Source organism: Homo sapiens, chromosome 10, assembly GCF_000001405.40.
Source record: "Homo sapiens chromosome 10, GRCh38.p14 Primary Assembly".
In the NCBI taxonomy this organism is placed as follows: Eukaryota; Metazoa; Chordata; class Mammalia; order Primates; family Hominidae; genus Homo; species Homo sapiens.
Genome location: NC_000010.11, coordinates 49,936,333 through 49,956,187, shown reverse-complemented (window position 1 = coordinate 49,956,187; position 19,855 = coordinate 49,936,333). Strand labels below are relative to the sequence as shown.

The 19,855-nt window shown below is 39.5% G+C and overlaps 2 protein-coding genes, 1 long non-coding RNA gene and 1 other non-coding gene across 29 annotated transcripts in view, besides 1 other annotated feature; 1 reads left to right on the top strand and 3 right to left on the bottom strand.

The window, feature by feature from the left end:
- The window catches only part of TIMM23B-AGAP6 (TIMM23B-AGAP6 readthrough (NMD candidate)), a 68,464-nt gene extending 54,329 nt beyond the window's left edge, over window positions 1-14,135 (bottom strand). For 3 of the 7 annotated variants that reach the window (NR_158661.1, NR_158660.1, NR_158657.1), the window contains exons 1-6: window positions 13,888-14,135; window positions 12,830-12,953; window positions 11,098-11,156; window positions 3,969-4,062; window positions 3,655-3,739; window positions 1,128-1,186 (exon numbers count right to left, since the gene is read on the bottom strand). This is a non-coding gene — a long non-coding RNA (TIMM23B-AGAP6 readthrough (NMD candidate)). The remainder of the gene's footprint in view (window positions 1-1,127; window positions 1,187-3,654; window positions 3,740-3,968; window positions 4,063-11,097; window positions 11,157-12,829; window positions 12,954-13,887) is intronic. The other 4 variants (NR_158659.1, NR_158656.1, NR_158658.1 and 1 more) reach the window with 2 other exon arrangements.
- The window catches only part of TIMM23B (translocase of inner mitochondrial membrane 23 homolog B), a 32,798-nt gene extending 18,663 nt beyond the window's left edge, over window positions 1-14,135 (bottom strand). For 2 of the 6 annotated variants that reach the window (NR_158651.1, NM_001290117.2), the window contains exons 1-5: window positions 13,888-14,135; window positions 11,098-11,156; window positions 3,969-4,062; window positions 3,655-3,739; window positions 1,128-1,186 (exon numbers count right to left, since the gene is read on the bottom strand). Coding sequence is in view for 3 of the 6 variants with exons in the window: in NM_001290117.2 (NP_001277046.1) it covers window positions 1,128-1,186; window positions 3,655-3,739; window positions 3,969-4,062; window positions 11,098-11,156; window positions 13,888-13,993 (403 nt within the window). In the remaining 3 variants the exon portion in view is untranslated. Of the gene's footprint in view, window positions 1-1,127; window positions 1,187-3,654; window positions 3,740-3,968; window positions 4,063-11,097; window positions 11,157-12,829; window positions 12,954-13,887 lie in introns of all 6 variants that reach the window. The other 4 variants (NR_158652.1, NM_001365871.1, NR_110767.2 and 1 more) reach the window with 3 other exon arrangements.
- On the bottom strand, window positions 1,773-1,976 carry SNORA74C-2 (small nucleolar RNA, H/ACA box 74C-2). The gene has a single exon (NR_145778.2). It is a non-coding gene; the product is annotated as a small nucleolar RNA, H/ACA box 74C-2 (small nucleolar RNA).
- Window positions 14,161-19,855, top strand: part of PARG (poly(ADP-ribose) glycohydrolase) — a 123,749-nt gene continuing 118,054 nt past the window's right edge. For 13 of the 15 annotated variants that reach the window (NR_130169.3, NR_136752.3, NR_136754.3 and 10 more), the window contains exon 1: window positions 14,161-14,679. Coding sequence is in view for 4 of the 15 variants with exons in the window: in XM_011540305.2 (XP_011538607.1) it covers window positions 14,463-14,679 (217 nt within the window). In the remaining 11 variants the exon portion in view is untranslated. The remainder of the gene's footprint in view (window positions 14,680-19,855) is intronic. The other 2 variants (NM_001303486.3, NM_001324381.3) reach the window with 2 other exon arrangements.
- Window positions 14,251-14,320: an enhancer, noted in NCBI's record as "active region_3355". NCBI's record gives its function as "activates an Ori minimal core promoter by ATAC-STARR-seq in GM12878 lymphoblastoid cells {active_cell/tissue: GM12878}" and the evidence as "EXISTENCE:reporter gene assay evidence [ECO:0000049][PMID:35858748]".

The following is a 19,855-nucleotide window of genomic DNA, read 5'->3' as shown; positions in this document are numbered from 1 at the left end:
TTATACTTCTATGAAAGTTCATCTTCCTCTTCAACTTATTTAACTGAAACTGATCACAAGCAGAACATCCTTCTTGATCATACCACAATGGGTACACAGAGGGTGACCAGCCATTCTAGTTTGTCCAGGACTGTGGGGCGGGGTGGGCGGGGGGTGGAGATTATTGGAACATAGTTTCTTGGACTTTTCTCTGAAAGTCCTAGGCAGACAAGGACAGCTGACTACTCTAGGTATACAAGCAATTAAAAGAAGCAGAGAGGGGTGACTCTGTAGGAGGGTGGGAGGAATGCAGACATCAGCAACATATGAAAGCAGCCATCTCTTAGGATCCAAAGTGTGAAAACTGGCTTTACAGTGTGAAGATGTACTGCTTCCAAATTCTGTGACAAGGCAGGACCTTACTCTGCCATAACAAACGCTTTTTCTATGTTTTCAATGAGTTTTCTATGTCTTCCCCTCCTTAATCTGCCACAATTTAAATTGAGATTTTCAACTAAGTTCACACAGTAGGAAAATTTTGGATGTCAGGACATAAGCCATAAGAGATCTATTGTAAGTGATCAATCATTCATAAACAATATGGTATGAAAGCATTAGGCTCTGACTAAGCACTACTAAATTACCTTTTGCCTAGAACTGCAAACGTTTTCATTATCTACAAGGAACCTATTCCAATTGTGGCAATTAGGTGCCTGAAATCTACTCAGGTAAACAGACTAATGAACACGCTATTAAGAAAACATAGCAAGAGGGCTGGATTAATTTATCATGTATCACTACAGGACCTTGAACCTTGTCTAACATACAAAGCTCTTTACTTTGGACCTAAATTATCTGGATTTCATTTAAACATGATTTTATTGGGTGTTGTGCTTGGAGAGTGTGCAGTGTCCAAAATATTTTAAAAATTCAGAAATGGTATTCAGAATGGTATCAGCACCTGAGATTATTTCATAAGTTAGTTCATGGTCTTTCCCTAAGTAGTATCTACATTATGCATTGGAATGGATTTAAACATAATTGTCTCATATCCTAGGACCAGAATATGGGTTGATCAAATTGTTCATGATATTTGTGCATTCTTTCTTTAAGTTAACAATTTATTATCAAACGAGATCTCTACTTACCCAGAGAACCTAGAGTATTAGCCCAAAGTGCCCCTTGCCTAGTCACCATATTCAAAATCCTATCAGGGCAGAAAGAGAAAGAATCTGTATTTAGAATCATTATTTCTCTAGTAATCTTTAAAAACAATAATGGCTATTTAACATGTCTAGACCCAGGGCGCAAAGTTTTTTAAATTCTAAAATACATCTTAATATCTCCGATTTCAATAAGGATGGTTTTTACTCTACATAAGTGAAAATTAGGTTAAAACTTTCAAAATTTTAGGCAAAAGTCTTAAGGACTTTTATATAAGTCCTTAATAATAATAATAATAATAATAATAATAAGGAAAACTCTTATTATTAAATGTATAATATAATGAATACACATTAAATATATATAAGGCTTTGAATGACAGCCTGGAATGTATCTTACAGAGGTTTACAGAAACTAATCCATGTAAAAAATGCCACTGTTAACTATGGCGAGCTAGCTTCTAAAAGGTTCTTTTTGGGAGGGGAACATATGCTTAGAATGTTAAAGATAATCAAAGTAAAGAATATCAAAGTACAGAATATAAAGTAAAGAATATCGAAGTACAGAATATAAAGTAGAATTAAAGAGAAGGAATCAGCCATCTAACTAGAATACATGGGGAAAGCACCCTGTGTCTGCTCCCAGACTAGAACCAAGCAGCCAAGGTGAATGCTCAGCACACTCTCAAGGAAGCACAGTTCTGCCTTGCACCAGTGCCAGACACCACCAGAACAGTGATGGAGGCAACTGGATGAAGAGAAGACATTCTTCTCCCAGCAGTGTAACACCATCCCAGGAATGGTTCTGTCCAGACAGCTGACTACTGCTGGAAATTATGGAAATACAGTAACAAAGAGTGAAGGAACTCATTCAGTTTAATTATTAAACGACTCAATTAACGTTCTACAGAAACAAAAATTTGTATTGCTTCTAAAAGATTGTTTTAAAAAATCAGTAATGTTTACAAACAGAAGTATATTGTTTCTAATTATGTTACATATTTACTAACGTATTTTAAGTTCAGCCATCATTTTTTCATTTTTAACAAGCATTTTAATAACTTGTTTTAAGAAAGGAAGCAAGTTGTCTTTTCTAGGAGATCTACTTCCAAATTTGTATTTAATATGATATTGGGGTTTTTGTCTCAAAATAAGGTGGGAGAGGAGAGGGAGATGGGATAGAACTGGCCATGGTTGATGGTTGTTGAGGATGGGTTATGGTTCATGTGTTCACTATGCTATGTATTTTGTCTACTTTTATATATTCAAAATTCCCTATAATACAAAAACTTAAAAATATTATTGAAGCGAGGGACAAGTAATAAAAATATTGAAGGATCTAGGCTGGTAAAGCATGGACAGAGATCCACACAGTAACAGGAATATAAAAAACTTAACAGAGCTAGGCGCAGTGGCTCATGTCTGTAATCCCAGCAGTTTGGAAGGCTGAGGCAAGAGGATCACCTGAGCTCAGGAGTTTGAGAACAGCCTGAGCAATACAGTGAGACCCCGTCTCTACAAAAAATTAAAAAATTAACTGGGCATGGTGGCATGTGCCTGTAGTCCCAGCTACTCGGGAGGCTGAGGTGGGAGGATCACTTGAGCCCAGGAGGTCAAGGCTACAGTGAGCTGTGATGGCACCATTGCACTCCAGCTCGGGCAACACAGCAAGGCCCTGTCTCTCAAAAAACCACACAATTTAACAGGCCTTCCAGTTTCCCATGGTCTAATTCTAGCACATCTGGTGCCATCTGCTGGGTGAACAATATGAAAGGAAGATAGGAGTTTAAAGTGTCCTAAAACAAAACAGTAGCCATCGAAGAATACATACTCATGATTCCACTTACATGAAGCATAAAAATGGGCAAAACTAAACATATTGTTTAAGGAATATCAAGAGGGACTGGCCATGTTTACTTCTTAAGTTGGGTGAAAACATACTTTCTGATCCTTTTAACTGTACTTTCCCTTCTCTGTAACTTCAAGTTCTAACAGAAAACTGTGTCTTATCCTTTTGGAGTTAACTCTAATTCTAAAAATTTTATTTAAAATGTATCTGGCTCATCACTTCGGAAACAAAGTCAAGACAGTAAGAAGTTCAAGTTAAATGATGGCAGCTTGAGCCATCACTCTCATGAGCTGCTTATTCTTCATTACCATTTCCTATGGATCTGCATGCCCCCAAACAATCCAAAATTCCCATTAGCAACTCAACAATTTGAAAAGCAAGTCACATAGGGTTGGAGAATGTAACAGGTGCAGCTGAGAAGTCAGGCTGGCATAGCACTAGCTGATTGAGGGACACTGATTAAAAAAATCACTCCTTTTTAAAAGCTTAGAGTCAGTAATCTGATTCCTTAGTTGCTTTTATTTTGATTAAGATTAAAAAACAAAGACAAAAAAGCACATAACTATGCTAACCATCTGTAATCTCAAGGTTGTACTCATCAAACCAATACAACAGAGCTTAATATTCAAGTATCACTACATCAGATGGTTACAAGAGACTTACTGTACATTTCCTGGTTTGGACCAGGCCATGTTCTGGGTTTCCTTCAATCCTAGCCGAAGACCATTCATTGCCCCAAACGCAGCCCCTGGTAAATCATAAAAATTCACCCAGATAAGACAGCTTTATATTAAAAAAAAAACCTCAAAACTGCATAACTACACTTCTGATTCTTTTTCATTTTTATTTAATAGAAAAAGACAAATGTAAATATTAAAAAAAAAAACCCTGAAACCAACATTCTAATTGCTTTTGATTTTACGCACCCTCAACTACTTGAACTGAGCACTCTTGAGAAAAAAGTATGTAACACTCACCTGTCATGCAACACCCTCCAATCGTAAAGAAGGCCAGCTCAAATCTGCCCCAGGTTTTATTAGCTCCGGTAGGTAAAATGAACTCATCTGTATCCTAAAAGGATAATAATGAAAACCAAGCTGAGTGTCCCTCAAGACACAAATCTTGTAAAGTTGCCTTTTTAACATTTCAAGTAGTTTTTCACAGAAAATAAACCTTAAATTAACTCAAACCTATACTTAAACAAAAATAAAACTTTCTGCAGCAGTAACACCTAAATCAAAGTGAAATGAAATACGAAACACAGTTCTTAGAAGGGAGTCTCATTAAAGACTTTGTTTCCTTCAAAACGTAAATCTGATAGATTTGTGCAAAAGTGTTTAGAAAGGACAGCTCTAGAGAAAGGAACACTGAAAGCTATGAGAAGAACAGAACAGACAACCAGTCTGGAAGAAACAAATAACTTTCATTCTGTAGCAGCTATTTATTGTGCATTTTTCTATGTATAAAGCCAAATGTTCACAAACATGAGCAAAAACTAATAAAGTACAACAGTTTGGATCAATTATGCAAGGGCAAATGACCCCCTTTAATAATTCTTATCTGTTTAAGGAGTATATATTCCTTTGATACTCTCAGAAAGCTATAGACCCTATTTCTAGTAATTGCATACACAAAATGTGGCATGAACCCCTGGAAGGTCATCCAAAATACTAAGATTGAGAAATGACACTCTTAAGAGCAAAATATGGTTACCAATTTTGAAGAGTCAATGCACCTTTATGAAAAACACACTCAAAAAAACACACAAAATTTTATCACCATGTTGGATTAAAAAAAAAAAAATCACACTCATTTTTGGCACGCTTTCCATCCAAAGATGGTTAAAATAAGCCTCTAATGGCTAGGTCACACCCTTGGCAAAAAGACACATAGTGTGTTACATTTAACATAGTAAAGACCACTGACAATTAACATTCTCCTACATCCTTGTGGCAAATACTGAACGTTGATTCAGAAAACTGTATTCCTAATCAGAAAACTGTGGTTCTGCCTTGGTTTTTTCTTTCTGGCATGTGCACACATCCTCACCAAAAATTGCAAAAGTAAACAAACACATCCACTCTCATCACATAAGAATGGTCTGTTGGGCAATAATAAAATCTGAATAGTTCCCATGTCATAATATAATTGTATAGAGTTTTATAAATTTTGGGTACTTCAACTTTTAAATAATGACTTAGTATTAAACTGCTTTTTGTTTGAGTTTTTAGAAATGCTAGATTCAATGTGGTAAGGTAAATAATTATTCTTCAGTCTCAGGCCATGGTTGCTGAGAAGAAAAAAAAAATTATCCTTCAATACAGAAACAGATCACTAATTAAGAATAGAAAACTTGGCCAGGCACGGTGCCTCCCGCCTGTAATCTCAGCGCTTTGGGAAGCCGAGTCGGGTGGACTGCCAGAGCTCAGGAGTTCAAGGCCACCCTGGGCAACATGGTGAAACCCCGTCTCTACTAAAATACAAAAAATTAGCTGGGCGTGGCAGTGTGCGCCTGTAGTCCCAGCTACTTGGGAGGCTGAGGCAGGAGAATTGCTTGAACCCGGGGGTGGAGGTTGCAGTGAGCTGAGATCACGCCACTGCACTCCAGCCTGGGTGACAGAGCGAGACTCCATCTCCAAAAAAAAAAAAAGAAAAGAAAACTTAAAAAAAAAAAAAAAGGCTGTGATGAACATTATCAAGCAAGCAAAAGTGCACGTTAGCACCAACTCATTCTCCTGCTAGTATCAACTGAAAAATATAACAAGGGTTGCAAGCAAACATCCATCAATTCACACACAAACAAGGCTGTTATCAAAGTATGTTAATATACTGAATGTATAGAAGATTTACTAAAAAGCTCTTGTTAAACCTGTCCTGTTGACACTCCAGGACACTAGTATTACTAAAATCCCAAGTACCAGAGTTTGCTGACATGGAAGATAAATCCAAGAATGGGTATCAATGTACTTGCTGGGGGAAAAAAAAAAAAAAAAAAAGAAAAAACTTTTTTAATTTATAATTTTGCGTGTTTAACACTATGGATGTTAAAAATATTTAAATTTTCCTTATTTTTGTACCAGATGTTCACCTGGGCTAACAAAAAAATTTATTACTTGACACAATTTAAAAAAAAGTTTCAATGAGGATATAAGAGTAGTGACAATACAAAAGCATTAGTGAGAGAAACTACAATACTGTATCAGATAAAAGTTGGCTAGGCACAGTAGCTCATGCTTGTAATCCCAGCACTTTGGGAGGCCAAGGTGGGAGGACTGCTTGAACCCAGGAGTTCCAGACCAGCCTGGACAACACAGTGAGACCCTGTGTCTACTATTAAACAAGAAAAAAAAAAAGTTGTTGCCAAAGTCACGACATGGTGAGTTGACAGGTACTATTTTCTTTAAGATGTCTCTAACCTTCAAAAGTATAAATAAAAGTTTTACAAAATGTAATTTCTATTATCTTTAAATTTAAGGTCTCCAGAATTATTTCCAATAACAGATGAGGTTTATAAAACACTTTTTAAAGTCTGAAGTCCCTCTAGAATTCCAATGGAAGATTAAATGTTCATGATGAAGAATGAATTCACAAGTTTTTGGGGGGATATGAAATATTTTATGTCTAACCTTAATAAGCCCCACCTAGCAATGCAGGGCTACAATGATATTGAATTTTAACTAGATCTAGAGTACAACCTCTAAGTGTAGATTCAACATTAAAGCAAAATACATGCAACTAGTTTTGAAATTTTGAGTAAACTGACAAAGGAGTACTTTTAAAGTAAAAAAATCAAGGAACACCCAATGTTAAAATATAACATTTGAAAAACATTTCAAAAATAATGAAGCTTTAAATTGGCAAGGTCCGAACCATCAACTTGCTTCAATTTGAACACTTAACGCAAACAAGAAATGCAGCAGCTGTCAGATGCCGTTAGTGATTCAACTCTGAAATAAAAGGTTCCAACCATAACTCTTAAAAAAAAAAAAAAAAAAAAAAGGCCAGGCATGGTGGCTCATGCCTGTAATTCCAGCACTTTGGGAGGCCAAGGCAGAAGGACCACTTGAGGCCAGGAGTTAAGAGACCAGCCTGGGCAACCAAGTCAGATCACATCTCTACAAAGAATGTAAAAAAAAAAAGAATTAGCCAGGCATGGTGGTGTTCATCTGCAGCCCTAGCTATCTAGGAGGATGAGGCAGAAGGACCGCTTGAGCCTAGGAGTTTGAGGTTACAGTGAGCTATGATGCTGCTACTGCAACTCGAGTCTGGAAGACAGAGTGAGACTTTGTCTCTTAGAAAAAAAAGAGAGAGAGAAAATGGAGTTACTGATATGTATCTCATGTACCATACAATTTACTTACTTAGAGTGTACAATTCAGTGGTTTTTAGTATATTCAGAGTTGTGCAACCAAGACTACAATAAATTTTAAAGCATCTTCATCACCCCCCAAAAAAATCACATACCCATTAGCAGTCACTGCCCATTTACTCCCAACCCTTGGCAGCTACTAATCTACTTTCTTGTCCATATATTTGCCTATTCTGGACATTCCATATAAATGGAACCACACAATATGTGGTCTCTTGTGACTGGTTTCTTTCATTTAGGAAGTTTTAAAGGTTCATTTATATTGTAGCATAATTTAATAGTTCTTTTTTTATTACCAAATAATATTCCATTTGTATGGATATGCCACACTTTTTTATCCATTCATCAGTGGATAAACATTTGGTTTGTTTCCATTTTTTGGTTATTATGAATAATGCTACTAGCAACATTCATTTACAACTTATGTGCACAGAGGTTTTCAATTCTCTTGAGTATGGAGTATACGCAAGTGAAATTGCCAGTCATAAGGTAACTCTATTTTTAACACTTTGAGAAACTGCCAGACTGTTTCTAAAAGCAGCTGTATCATTTTACATTCCCACCAGCAATGTACAGAGGTCCAATTTCTCTACATCCTCAACAATACTTATTATTTTCTTTTTGATTATAGTGATCCCCGTGGGTGTAAAGAGGCATCTCATTGTGGTTTTATTTCTCTAATTAATGTTACTGACCAGCTTTCATGTCATTATTAGACATCTGTATATCTTCATAGAGAAATGTCTACTCAAATCCTTTGCCCATTTTGTAATTATTTTTATTAATGTTTCAAGAGTTAAAAAAATTAAATATTCTAGATATAAATTCCTTATCAGATACATAATATGCAAATATTTTCTCTCAGTCTGTGGATTGTCTTTTCCCCATTTTTTTCCTTTTGAGACAAAGTCTCTCTCTGTCACCCAGGCTGGAGTTAAGTGGTTTGATTATGCTCACTGAGACTTGACCTGCTGGACTCAAGTGATCCTCCCACCTCAGCCTCCCTAGTAGCTGGGACTACAGGTGCATACCACCACACCCCGCTAATTTTTGTATTTTTTTGCAGAGATGGGATCTTCTTATGTTGGCCAGGCAGGTCTCAAACTCCTGGGCTCAAGTGATCCTCCCGCCTCAGCCTCTTAAAAGTGTTGGGATTATAGGCACGAGCCACTGCGCCAGGACTTTTTCCATTCTTTATTTATTTATTTATTTATTTTTGAGACCGAGTCTTACTCTGTTGCCCAGGCTGAAGTGCGGGTGGTGCGATCTCGGCTCACCACAACCTCTGCCTCCCAGGTTCAAGTGATTCTCCTGCCTCAGCCTCCCAAGTAGCTGGGATTACAGGCGCCCAGCACCACGCCTGGCTAATTTTTGTATTTTTTAGTAGAGATGGGGTTTCACCATGTTGGCCAGGCTGGTCTCGAACTCCTGACCTCAGGTGATCCACCCGCCTCAGCCTCCCAAAGTGCTGGGATTACAGGTGTGAGCCACTGCACCTGGCCTCCATTCTTGTTGGTATTGTCTAAACCACAAAATTTTAAAATTCTGATTAAATACAATTTATCAACTTTCTTTTTACCACTTGTGCTTTTGGTGTCACAACCAAGAAATCACTGTCTAATCCAAAGTCACAACTACTTGTGCCCATGATTTCTTCTAAGAGTTTGACTGCTTCGGTTTACATTTAAGTCTTTAATCCATTTGGTGGTAACATTTTGCATATGGTGCAGGGTTAGGGTTCAACTTCATTCTTATGCATATGGATTCCAGTTGTCCTAACGTCTCCCCTGACTTAACTATTTTGGCATCCTTGTTGAAAAGCAAGTGACTGCGTATATTGTATAAGGTCTGTCTTCTGGACTCTGTATTTCATTAACTATGGATTTATTCTTATGTTACTATCATGATGTGGCTCTGTAGAAAGTTTTGAAATTGGCAAGTTCAAGTCCTCCAATCTATTTTCTCAAGGTCATTGGCCATTCTATGTCCCCTGAATTTCCATATGAATTTTAGGATAAAAGCTTGTCAATTTCTGCAAAAAAGCCAGCTGGGATTTTGACAGGCACTGCACTAAATCTGTTGGTTAATTTGGTGAGCACTGCCATTTTAATATTAAAATTTTCAGGATCATAGCATGTGTCTTTCCACTTAATTTCAATAATGTTTTATAGTTTTCAGAATATGTTTTGCACCTGGTCCATTTATTTCTAAGTATTTGCTTTTTGATGTTATTGGTAATCAACTGTTTTTTGTAATTTCATTTTTGTAGTGTTCATTGCAACTGTCTAGAAATATATTTATGTATATTGAACTTGTATTCTGCAACTTGCTGAACTCGATCATTAGTTTTAACAGATTTTTGTGATTTCCCTTGTGATTTTCTATAGATAAGATCATGTCATTTGTAAACAGATAGTTTAACTTCTTTTTCAACTTGAATGCCATTTAATGTACTTGACTAATTGCCCTGGCCAGACAATGCTGAATATAAATGAGAGTAAATATACTTATTTTGTTCCTGATCTTAGGGAGAAGGCATTCAGTCTTTCACCATTAAATTATGTTAGCTTTGGATATTCTGTAGATGGCATTTAACAGGCTGAAGTCCCTTTTATGTCTAGTTTTATTTATTTATTTAGAGACAGGGTCTTACTCTGTTGCCCAGGCTGGAGTGTAGTGGGGTGTTCTCAGCTCACTGCAACCTTTGTATCCAGGGTTCAAGCGATTCTCGTGCCTCAGCCTCTCAAGCAGCTGGGATTACAGGTAGGCACCACCACGCCTGGCTAATTTTTGTATTTTTAGTAGAAACAGCGTTTCGCTATGTTGGCCAGGCTGGTCTCAAACTCCTGGCCTCAAGTGATCTGCCCACCTCAGCTTCCCAGAGTGCTGGGATTACAGGTGTGAATCACTGCGCCCAGCCTAGTTTGTTTTTATAATCATTAAAGGGGGTGTTGGATGTTGTCAAATGATTTTTGTGAATCTATTGAGATAAGCATGTGGTCTTTGTACTATATTCTTTCCTTGATTGCTTTATTATAAATTGATATGGCACAATACATTAATTTTCAGATGTTAAAACAACCTTGCTTTTCTAATATACCCAAGATATATTTGCTAATATATCTTGGATTCAAAAAGATACTCTTTGAAACTTTTGATGCTTAGTCAAAAAAACCCTGATATTGTAAACTGAGCTTTAAAACACACTTTGCCTGTAATCCCAGCACTTTGGGAGCCTGGCCAACATGGTGAAACCCGGTCTCTATTGAGAACACAAAAATTAGCCAGGCGTGGTGATGGGCGCCTGTAGTCCCAGCTACTCGGGAGGCTGAGGCAGGACGATGGCCTGAATTTGGGAGGCTGAGGTTGCAGTGAGCAGAGATCGCGCTACTGCACTCCAGCCTGGAGGACAAAAGCAAAACTCTGGCTCAAAAACAAACAAACAAACAAACAAAAAAACCCCACACACTTTGTAACTAGGCATCCCAATACTTTTATTGGGGTGCTTTCAAAAATTAATTCTGCTCTGGTTTTAAAAAATAAGCTTTTGAAGGGAGTTAACTGGTTTCAGAGAGATGCAGGCCAAGCTCCTGGTGTTTGTGAGGAAAAAAGGGTGAATGGAGACCAGAGACTTACTGCCTCCAGAAGTGTATGTCATAGTTCAAGTCAGCATAGCACTTGGCGTTTTTTTAAAAATGGTAAAATAATGCACCAAACTAGTAAAATCTTAGTCTTACCTGCACGAGGTATCGTGGATCCACATTTAAATAAGGACACAGAGGGTTCATACCAGTTACTAGAGAGAAAACAAAATGTCACATTGCAACAAAATTCTTTAAGTTAATCCAGTTAGAGTTAATCCAGCTCCTGATTGTTACATGTGTTTGCAATTTTTATAGGCTCACTGAAGGCAGAAAATTTTTTCCCATTTTATCCTCCCTATCTGTCAGTTTGGGGGCTGACTCATCCTGAGACCCTCAATCCCAAACCAGGTCTTCCACTGGTGGCTCAGGCTTTTACACCAATAAGATAATCGCAGTGTCATAGATCTGATTTTTGAACTTACAGGAAGTGTAGTCCAGGCCATTTACAAAGCTAATTTCTTTCACTTTACTACAAGAATGCTTGGTGACTATATAAATTACAAAATAAGACTGAGAAAAGACTAATCAATTCCATGGGAAAAACAGTGGTTGGGTTGGGTTTTCTGACTGTGTACATGTTGTATCTAACTATTTCAAGGCAGTTCCTTCACATATTACTATTAACGATTGATTTACTGTGGCAAGGTTGAGAATCCTTGGGTCATTACCACAGGTATGTGGGTCTGTGCAAAAGAAAACACAAACTTTGAGAGGGCCAGACCTGAATTCACTAACATTGAAAACAGTAAAACCTATCATCTTTGGATCCTTCTGTATCTCAGCAGTTATTTACAAACCTATGCATCACCCATGCCTCTATCTTTTCATCAATTAGGAGTCCTGCTTGTTCTATTTTTAATACCCATTTTGAATTGTGTTACTTATCTTCTCTATTGCTACCATCCTAGTCCAACCATCATATCTCACAGCAACAATTTCCTAACTCCTTGCTTTCTCTTACCCCTTCAATTCACTGTCTACATAGCAACTACGTGATTTTTCTTAAGAAAATCGAAACTCCTTACCATAACTTACAAAATCCTACATTAGCTGTCATTCCCTACCTCTCTGATTTCACAAGCTTCAATTGATCCAACTCCCTTGTAACTACGAAGACAGACTGGCCTAAGAGCTGTTCCTTAAACATGCCAAATTTGTTTTGTTTCAGGACATTTGCACTAGCTATTTTCCTGGATACTTGCCTCCCAAGCATTTGTACTGTATTTGGGTCACAGCTCAAATGTCAACTCCCTTGAGATGTTTTCCCTAATCCGCTCTAAAATGGCATCCTGCTTCCATCACAATCTCATGACTCTGCTTTATTCCCTTTACAGCACTTATCACTAAAGGCAATGTTTTAATTTATGTTTGTTGGTTTACCTCAGTATTATGTAAGCTCTGTGAGCGCAAGGGTCCTCTTTTCAAAAAAAAAAAAAAAAAAAAAAACCCACAAAAACCACTATAGTCCTGCCCCCAGAAAAGTAGCTAGCACACTGTAAAAGCTCAGTAAATGGTGTTCATTCCCTGGTCCCCCAATTTACCTTCAAATCTTAATCAAATTAATTTAACAATATTGTCACATTAAGGAAGTGTATATGCCCTTTGTGCTCTGAAACTCAGAAATACTAAGATTAATATGAAACTGTGTTCTAAACAGGTAAAGTAGTAGCTCAGGCCTAGGAATCCCAGCATTTTGGGAGGCCGAGACAGGAGGATGGCCTGAGTTCGAGAGTTTGAGACCAGCTTGGACAACACAGGGAGACCCCATCTCCACAATAAGTCAAAAAAAAAATTTTAAAAATTAGCCAGGTGTGGTGGTACGTACCTAGATTCCCAGCTACTTAGGAGGCTTAGAGGGGAGGATTGTTTGAGCTCAGGAGTGCCAGGCTTCAGTGAACTATAATCATGCCACCGCACCCCAACATGGGTGACAGAACGAGGTCCTGACTCTAAAAACAAACAAAAAAAAAACGAAACAAAACACCATGTGTTGTAGATTCAGTTTTTTGACAAAGGTGACACCAGGGAAATGAAAGGTCTTTTATATTTTTTTGCACTAGAGTCAGTCTGAACATATTTCGTTGTTGTTGTTCCTTAGTATAAAATACCTAGAGAAATATTACAAGGATTCTCTAAAAAGAAAGTACTTTCGTAAAGGCTTTATCCACGACCAACTGCCTATCTTTAGGTCCAAGTTCTATTTATCTAGTTGAACAACCACAGTTACAAAGTACCAAAGTTCTGGAAAACATATTCACAAGACCGAGGAGAGGCAAAGGCAAGATATTTATGCCTCTGTATACCTTGATGTTGCCTATTTCCTTTCCTATAATTCTTACCTGGCTTCTTTCTTCATGTCTATATATCACCTTTAAAGTTCAGCTTACTTCCTAGCTCCTAAAGAAGGTTTCCTAGCCTGTCCCAAGTCATATTTATTTCTCACTTACATGCAATATTACTGAATATTCTGCCCTTACGGCTACTTGGAGGCTCAGAATATGTCACTGTGTACTAAAAAGTTAACTACGGGCTTGCTATTTGGAATACATTTACTCCCAAAGCTGGGCTCTACTCTTAAGGGTCAATCACACGGCCCACCACACACAAAACGTACGAGGCTTGGATATAAACCTAAGAAAACATGCATCATCTCGCGAGTCCAGGTCAATCACGGACAGCTTCCCCAGGAGATCCGTGGCCCTTTTTTAGGCCTTTCTATCTTGAAAGAGCAGCCATGCAGATACACTAACCCCACCACTGGTACTTAAGCTTGTAAACGCCAGCAAGGAAAAAAAAACCAACAACATAAAACATGGGACGCGCAACTTTAGTGTAAACGCAAGAACCAGTCAGAAATAATCGCAAGCTAGGCCCCATACTTACGCGGGACGCCAGCCAAATCCGCGTGCGAGTAACCTGCTTCGCCGGCTCCGAAAAAGCCGGCCAATACCCCTGTGGTTTTGTCGCCGCTTCCCCCGCCTCCTTCCATGGTATCGCAGCAAACCGAGTGGTTCCCGCCGCTGCCTCAAGCCTGGGTGGTCCGCTGGGCCGTTACTCCTCAATAACAGCGGGTAACCCCGCGTTGCCAGCGCCTACTTCACACGCTGACATTCCGGGCGCCGGTTCCCGTTAAGCGCCACACTTCCGCTTTGCGGCAGTGTGCGCCCCGGAAGCCGGAAGCGCCTGACGGCAGCTTTCCGGTGGTGGGAAAGTGAACGAATCCCGAATCAAAGCGGCGCATTGAGGCAGGTGGGGTGCCAGTGGAAGAGGGAAGGCAGGCGAGTGTTTACGGCCTGACTTGGGAGGCCGGCGGATCAGCAATTGCAGAAGCAGGCAGCGGCAGAGAGGGAATGGTGCAGGCAGGCGCTGAGAAGGAGGCGCAGTCCATCTCTCTCAGGGTTAGTGAATGAGGCTCTCCGCCCGGGCCGGCCCGGGGACAGTGCGCTGCTGGTCCCAGCATGAATGCGGGCCCCGGCTGTGAACCCTGCACCAAGCGACCCCGCTGGGGCGCCGCTACAACTTCGCCGGCTGCTTCGGACGCCCGGAGCTTTCCCAGCAGGCAGAGGCGCGTCCTCGACCCCAAGGACGCTCACGTGCAGTTCAGGGTCCCACCGTCCTCGCCAGCCTGCGTCCCAGGGCGGGCGGGACAGCACAGAGGCAGCGCCACCTCGCTTGGTACGTGGGAAAATAAAAATCTTTGTCCTTCGCCTCGGCCCGAACCTTCTGGTCTCAGTCTGAGGACCCAGGGGCTCCAGTCACTCCTTTCTGGTCTTGTGTGCATCGTCACTCTTGAGGTCCACTTGCTGAGCTACCAAAGCCACTAGTGGGTGAATGGGGCCGCATTTTTCCCAGTGCGATTGATGTGAGAAACTCTGATGAGCAGTCACTCACAGGGCGGAAAATGGCAGGAGACTCCACCACCTGTTTGCTTCTTCAGGTTTGATTGAGAAATTGCCTTAGTCGTCAAGGAGATCTAATTGTGTATGTAAAACAGTAGGGCGCTTCAGCCTCTAGATAGGAAGAAAACAACTTCACTTGTTCAGATTCTGGGTCCCAGGGTGCAGAGCTATTAGTTTAAGCTGGCATTGTACCCGTCCCTGGTATACAGTGTTGAACGAGAGAAACTTGGCCTCTGCCTTCATACCTTAAAATCTATCTGGAGAGATAGACGATAGCAAAAGTTAATATAATAAAAGGTAATGGATGTTCTGATAGATGAATGACAGATTGTTTTACCTAACTGAATTTATGGAATCGAAAATAGTCCTCCAGAAGATGAGATGCTTATTCTGAGGACTGTAGAATGAGTAGGAGTTAGATGAAGAGGAAGTAAGAAGTGTTTCAGGAGTGCAACCGAGGCCGGGCGCGGTGGTTTTGCCTGTAATCCCTGAGCTTTGGGAGGCTGGGGCGGGTGGATCACCTGAGGTCAGGAGCTCAAGACCAGCCTTACCAATATGGTGAAACCCCGTCTCTGCTAAAAATACAAAAAATTAGCCTAGCGTGGTGGCGGGCAACTGTAATCCCAGCTACTCGGGAGGCTGAGGCAGGTGAGGCAGGAGAATCGCTGGCATCCGGGAGGCGGAGGTTGCAGTGAGCCGAGAGGGCACCATTGCACTCCAGCCTGGGCAACAAGAGCGAAACTCCGCCTCAAACAAAACAAAACAAAACAAAACAAAAACAGGAGTGCAATTGATATATAGAGTGAACGCAAGAGAGTGTGAGAGATGAGGCTGCAGGGTGGTACAGAAAAGTCAGATCAAATTGGATATGTAGACATTGCTAAGGATTTTGAACTCTAAGGGCATTGATAAGCTACTCAAGGGTTTTTAGTAGGGGAGTGACTTGATTAGACTTATTTATTTGTTGAAAAGTCTGTGTGGCTGGTGTGTGGAAAATAAAGAATGGATTGAAAAGGAACTCAAGTGGAGCATCAAGACTCAGTTAAGGAGTTAATCTAGGTTGGAAATAATTGTAGCTTAGGCCTGGATGCTGGCAATAGGGAAGGGGATGGATTCATGAAAGAATGGGATACTTGAGAAGAAATATTTCTGTGCTGGAGAAGTAGATTGGGGAGTTCGTGGCATAAACATTATAATGGATGCTATGGGCATAGATAACATAAACATGTAGAGAAAGTAAAGGTGACCTAGGGCAGATGCCTTAGGAACACCAAAGTTTAAGAGTAGACTGAAGAGAAGCGGCTGTAGAGGTGGGAGGAAAGCCTGGCTTGTGTTGTGTCAGACAAAGGAGATCATTTCAAAAAGGATGCATTCGTTAACAGTGTAAGAGGCTGGGCAGAGCTCGGGCAGTTCTCTGGTGAAGAGTCTACACTTAGATGTCTTCATACTTAGGGGCAGTACCAAGTAGACTTGCACTAGGCCTTGAAGGATGAGGAAGATTTGCTGTATAAATCAAGAGGAGAAAGAATTATACATGCAGAGGAAATAAGACATGCAAAAGTTGGTAAGACTGGAGCATAAGATGACAGAGGAGTGTCTGATGAGGCTGGGTGGCAGACAGGAGCTTATGAAGAAACTCAAATTCCATTTTAAGGAATTTCAACCTTATTCTGTGGTTAATGGAGAAACCACTAAAAAGCTTTTAAGCGTGGGAATACCATTTGGTTAATATTTTAGAAAAGTGGCTTTTGGACTTTTCTAACTGCAACCCACAGCATAAATTTTATCCAGTACACAGAGTAAGAAATATATGTAACCTGGCAAATAAGCCATATTTATAACTGAAATAAATGTTTCATGAAATAATACTTAACCTTACTATGTGTGATGCATTCTTATATTGTCTGTGTTATTTCATTGAAAAATGACTGGTCATTTGTAGTTTGTAGAACACTGGATAGTCAAGGCTGTAGACAGGGAGACTAGTTGCAAGAAACAAATGGCAGTTGTCTAGTAAGCGATGTGTTTAAAGGGTATGAGGAAGGGATGGATTTAAAATTTAGGATGTAGATTTCAGAGAACTTGGTATAGGGGAGAGAGAACTGAAGGTGAACTTCAGGTATACGTTCAGGTGTACTTCAGCTTCTGTGACTGGATAATTTGTGGTTTCATTAACCTTATTTGCATGTAAAGGAGGAGGAGTTAGTTGCAAATAGGGGTGAGGGCAGTCAGTCCTCACTGGTTGGATCTTAATTAAGATTTCTGCAGAAGAGGTACCAAATGAATACTTGGGGCTGTATTTCGCATGTTTAAATGTTTTCTGTATACCTGGCACAGGACACCAATTAACAGAATGTTCGAAGACTATATTTGTATCAAAAGCCCATTGTTTGAATTTTTGGGATTCCTTTAGGAACTTGGTATTTAAATTTTTATATATAATTATCTTAGGACAAGTAGGCGGGGTAGCGAAATGGATATTTATTCAGTATCTTTAAATTTTATATTCTTTATCTTCCTGGATATATTTCTTGTATTGACTGAAATCGCTAATTTTGCTGGGCATGCACCTGTAGTCCCAGCTACTTGGGAGGCTAAGGCAAGAGGATCACTTGAGCCCGGGAGTTCCCGTCCAGCCTGAGCAACATAGCGAGACCCCACTTCTGAAAAAAGAAAAAAAAAATCTGCAAACCTGCATATTGGCAGAACTCAGCATGTTATTCACATTGTGATGACGCAGGTTTATCCAGATGTGTTGCTATAGACTTTTTGTGAAAGTGGAATGTTCCTTTGACATGCAGGTGAATTTTATTGCGTTTTGTGCCTTTTGGCTGTATCTATAGCTATTAATTGAATGACTTGCTGATTAAAATATACTGGGTACTGAATAATGTTGCTGATGAGAGTAAATGTAAATGGTGTGAAGTCAAAGTTGGAGAATTACTGATCTCAGTGGAAAAAAAAAAGACTGGGTGGAAATGTCGGGAGATAACATATTGAGTGCTTTGTGAGGCTGAACACAATATTTTCTCTAATTTTTGCTTTGTAATTGATCCACATAACCCTTAGAAGTAGGTGTTGTTAGCTTCATTTTCTGGGTGAGGAAATAAAGGCTTAACGAAGTGAAGCAACTGGACCAAGGTGGTACTAGTAAGTGACTGAACAAAGATCTCAATCCAAGACTATCTGACTCTAGATCTTGTATCTTTTCATCACTTCTTATTGCCACTCTTTTTGCCTTGCTGTGACTATTTCTAGTTAAAATTCCTAGGAAACCTGGAAAGCATAATTTTATGCTTACTTCAGGAGTAAGAGGGATAAAGCTCTGACACAGTCCTGTGGTGTGCTGGGAAGGAAACCTTAGGAAGCCAGAAACAGTGATATTGCAAAGAGCAGTAAGCAGTCCTTTCTCTGAGGCCCTAAGAAGGACTGATCAATGTTTTATTAGCAGAAGATACTGGTTCCTTATCTCTTGCTTTTCCTCCTTCATCCCTTCCCCAGGCTTCAGGAAGCCTGAAACTAGAGAGAGAACACATTCTCAGGGTCAGGGCTACAGGAGAGAGCTCTCTTCTTCTTTGCCATCACTGGAACACTCCTGGTTTTTCATGAAATGATGTGTGCAGTCTTTAGGTTCTGTAGACTTATCACAGGAGTACGTGCTTCGTGTGTGTTATAGGAACCTAGTCATTGCATCTTAACATTAATCCTTACATTTATGGAAAAAAGATGTTTTAACTTCTAAACCAACTCAAAAAATGAATGTTTTGGCATATTACTGGTTTGTAATTTGAGGATTTTTTTTTTTTTTTGAGACAGAGTCTCACACTGTCGCCCAGGCTGGAGTGCAGTGGCGCGATCTCCGCTCACTGCAAGCTCCACCTCCCGGGTTCACGCCATTCTCCTGCCTCAGCCTCCCGAGTAGCTGGGACTACAGGCGCCCGCCACCACGTCTGGCTAATTTTTTGTATCTTTAGTAGAGACGGGGTTTCACCATGTTAGCCAGGATGGTCTCAATCTCCTGACCTTGTGATCCGCCTGCCTCGTCCTCCCAAAGTGTTGGGATTACAGGCATAAGCCACTGCGCCCGGCCCAATTTGAGGATTTTCTAAACTATACTTGCTGTATTTGATATAAAGAAAATAAATAGAGAATACAGAACTATAGAAAAAGTTTCAGAATCAAATGGTTTATCCTCTTACTCCCTCTGACTGAAGCTCATTTTTTCTCTGAAGCCTGATCTGCTGCAGAAAGCTAAATAAAATCGTGGAAGTAATGGTGTTTAACAATAAGAAATCACTATGCGTGATTACTTTTTTGTGATAGAAACTATTAAACTATTTTTGAAACATTAATCAAAGATTTTTACTAGCTGGATTATAAGTATTTTGTGGAAGGTAAAGATTATATAGCAATTGAATATTTTTCTGGTATAAAATTCTCCCCATCTGAAATGTATTTCGATTATGCCATTATTTCAATGAAAAATAAACCATTGATTTTTGTATATTTGAGCCTGCATCTGTTTTGCTCCATATGGTGTTTTAGGAGAGGTAGGTAAATAAGAAAGATCCTGTGACTTAGGATGCTAAGATTCTTACATTGCAATTTAGTGAGTATCTCAAATCTTAAACATTTGCGAATGTTTAAGATTTTATTTCTGATACTAAAATATGATGTACATTTAATCCCTATTCAGTATATTAAATTTTGACAGCACACTTATTTCTAATGATTATATAAAATGTGGCTTGTATTTATTTATATTGCATCTCCCTCTCCTGAGCTATCAATTCTACTTTTGCTACTGTCTGCTGATGTGTTAGGAAGGAAACCTTAGGAAGCCAGAAGTAGTGATATGGTTTTCTATCTAGTTACTTCTTTGGCATCTCAAATTTAGTATAGGCAGAATCGACCTAATCGTATTTCTTCCCTAAACACAATTCTCTTGTATT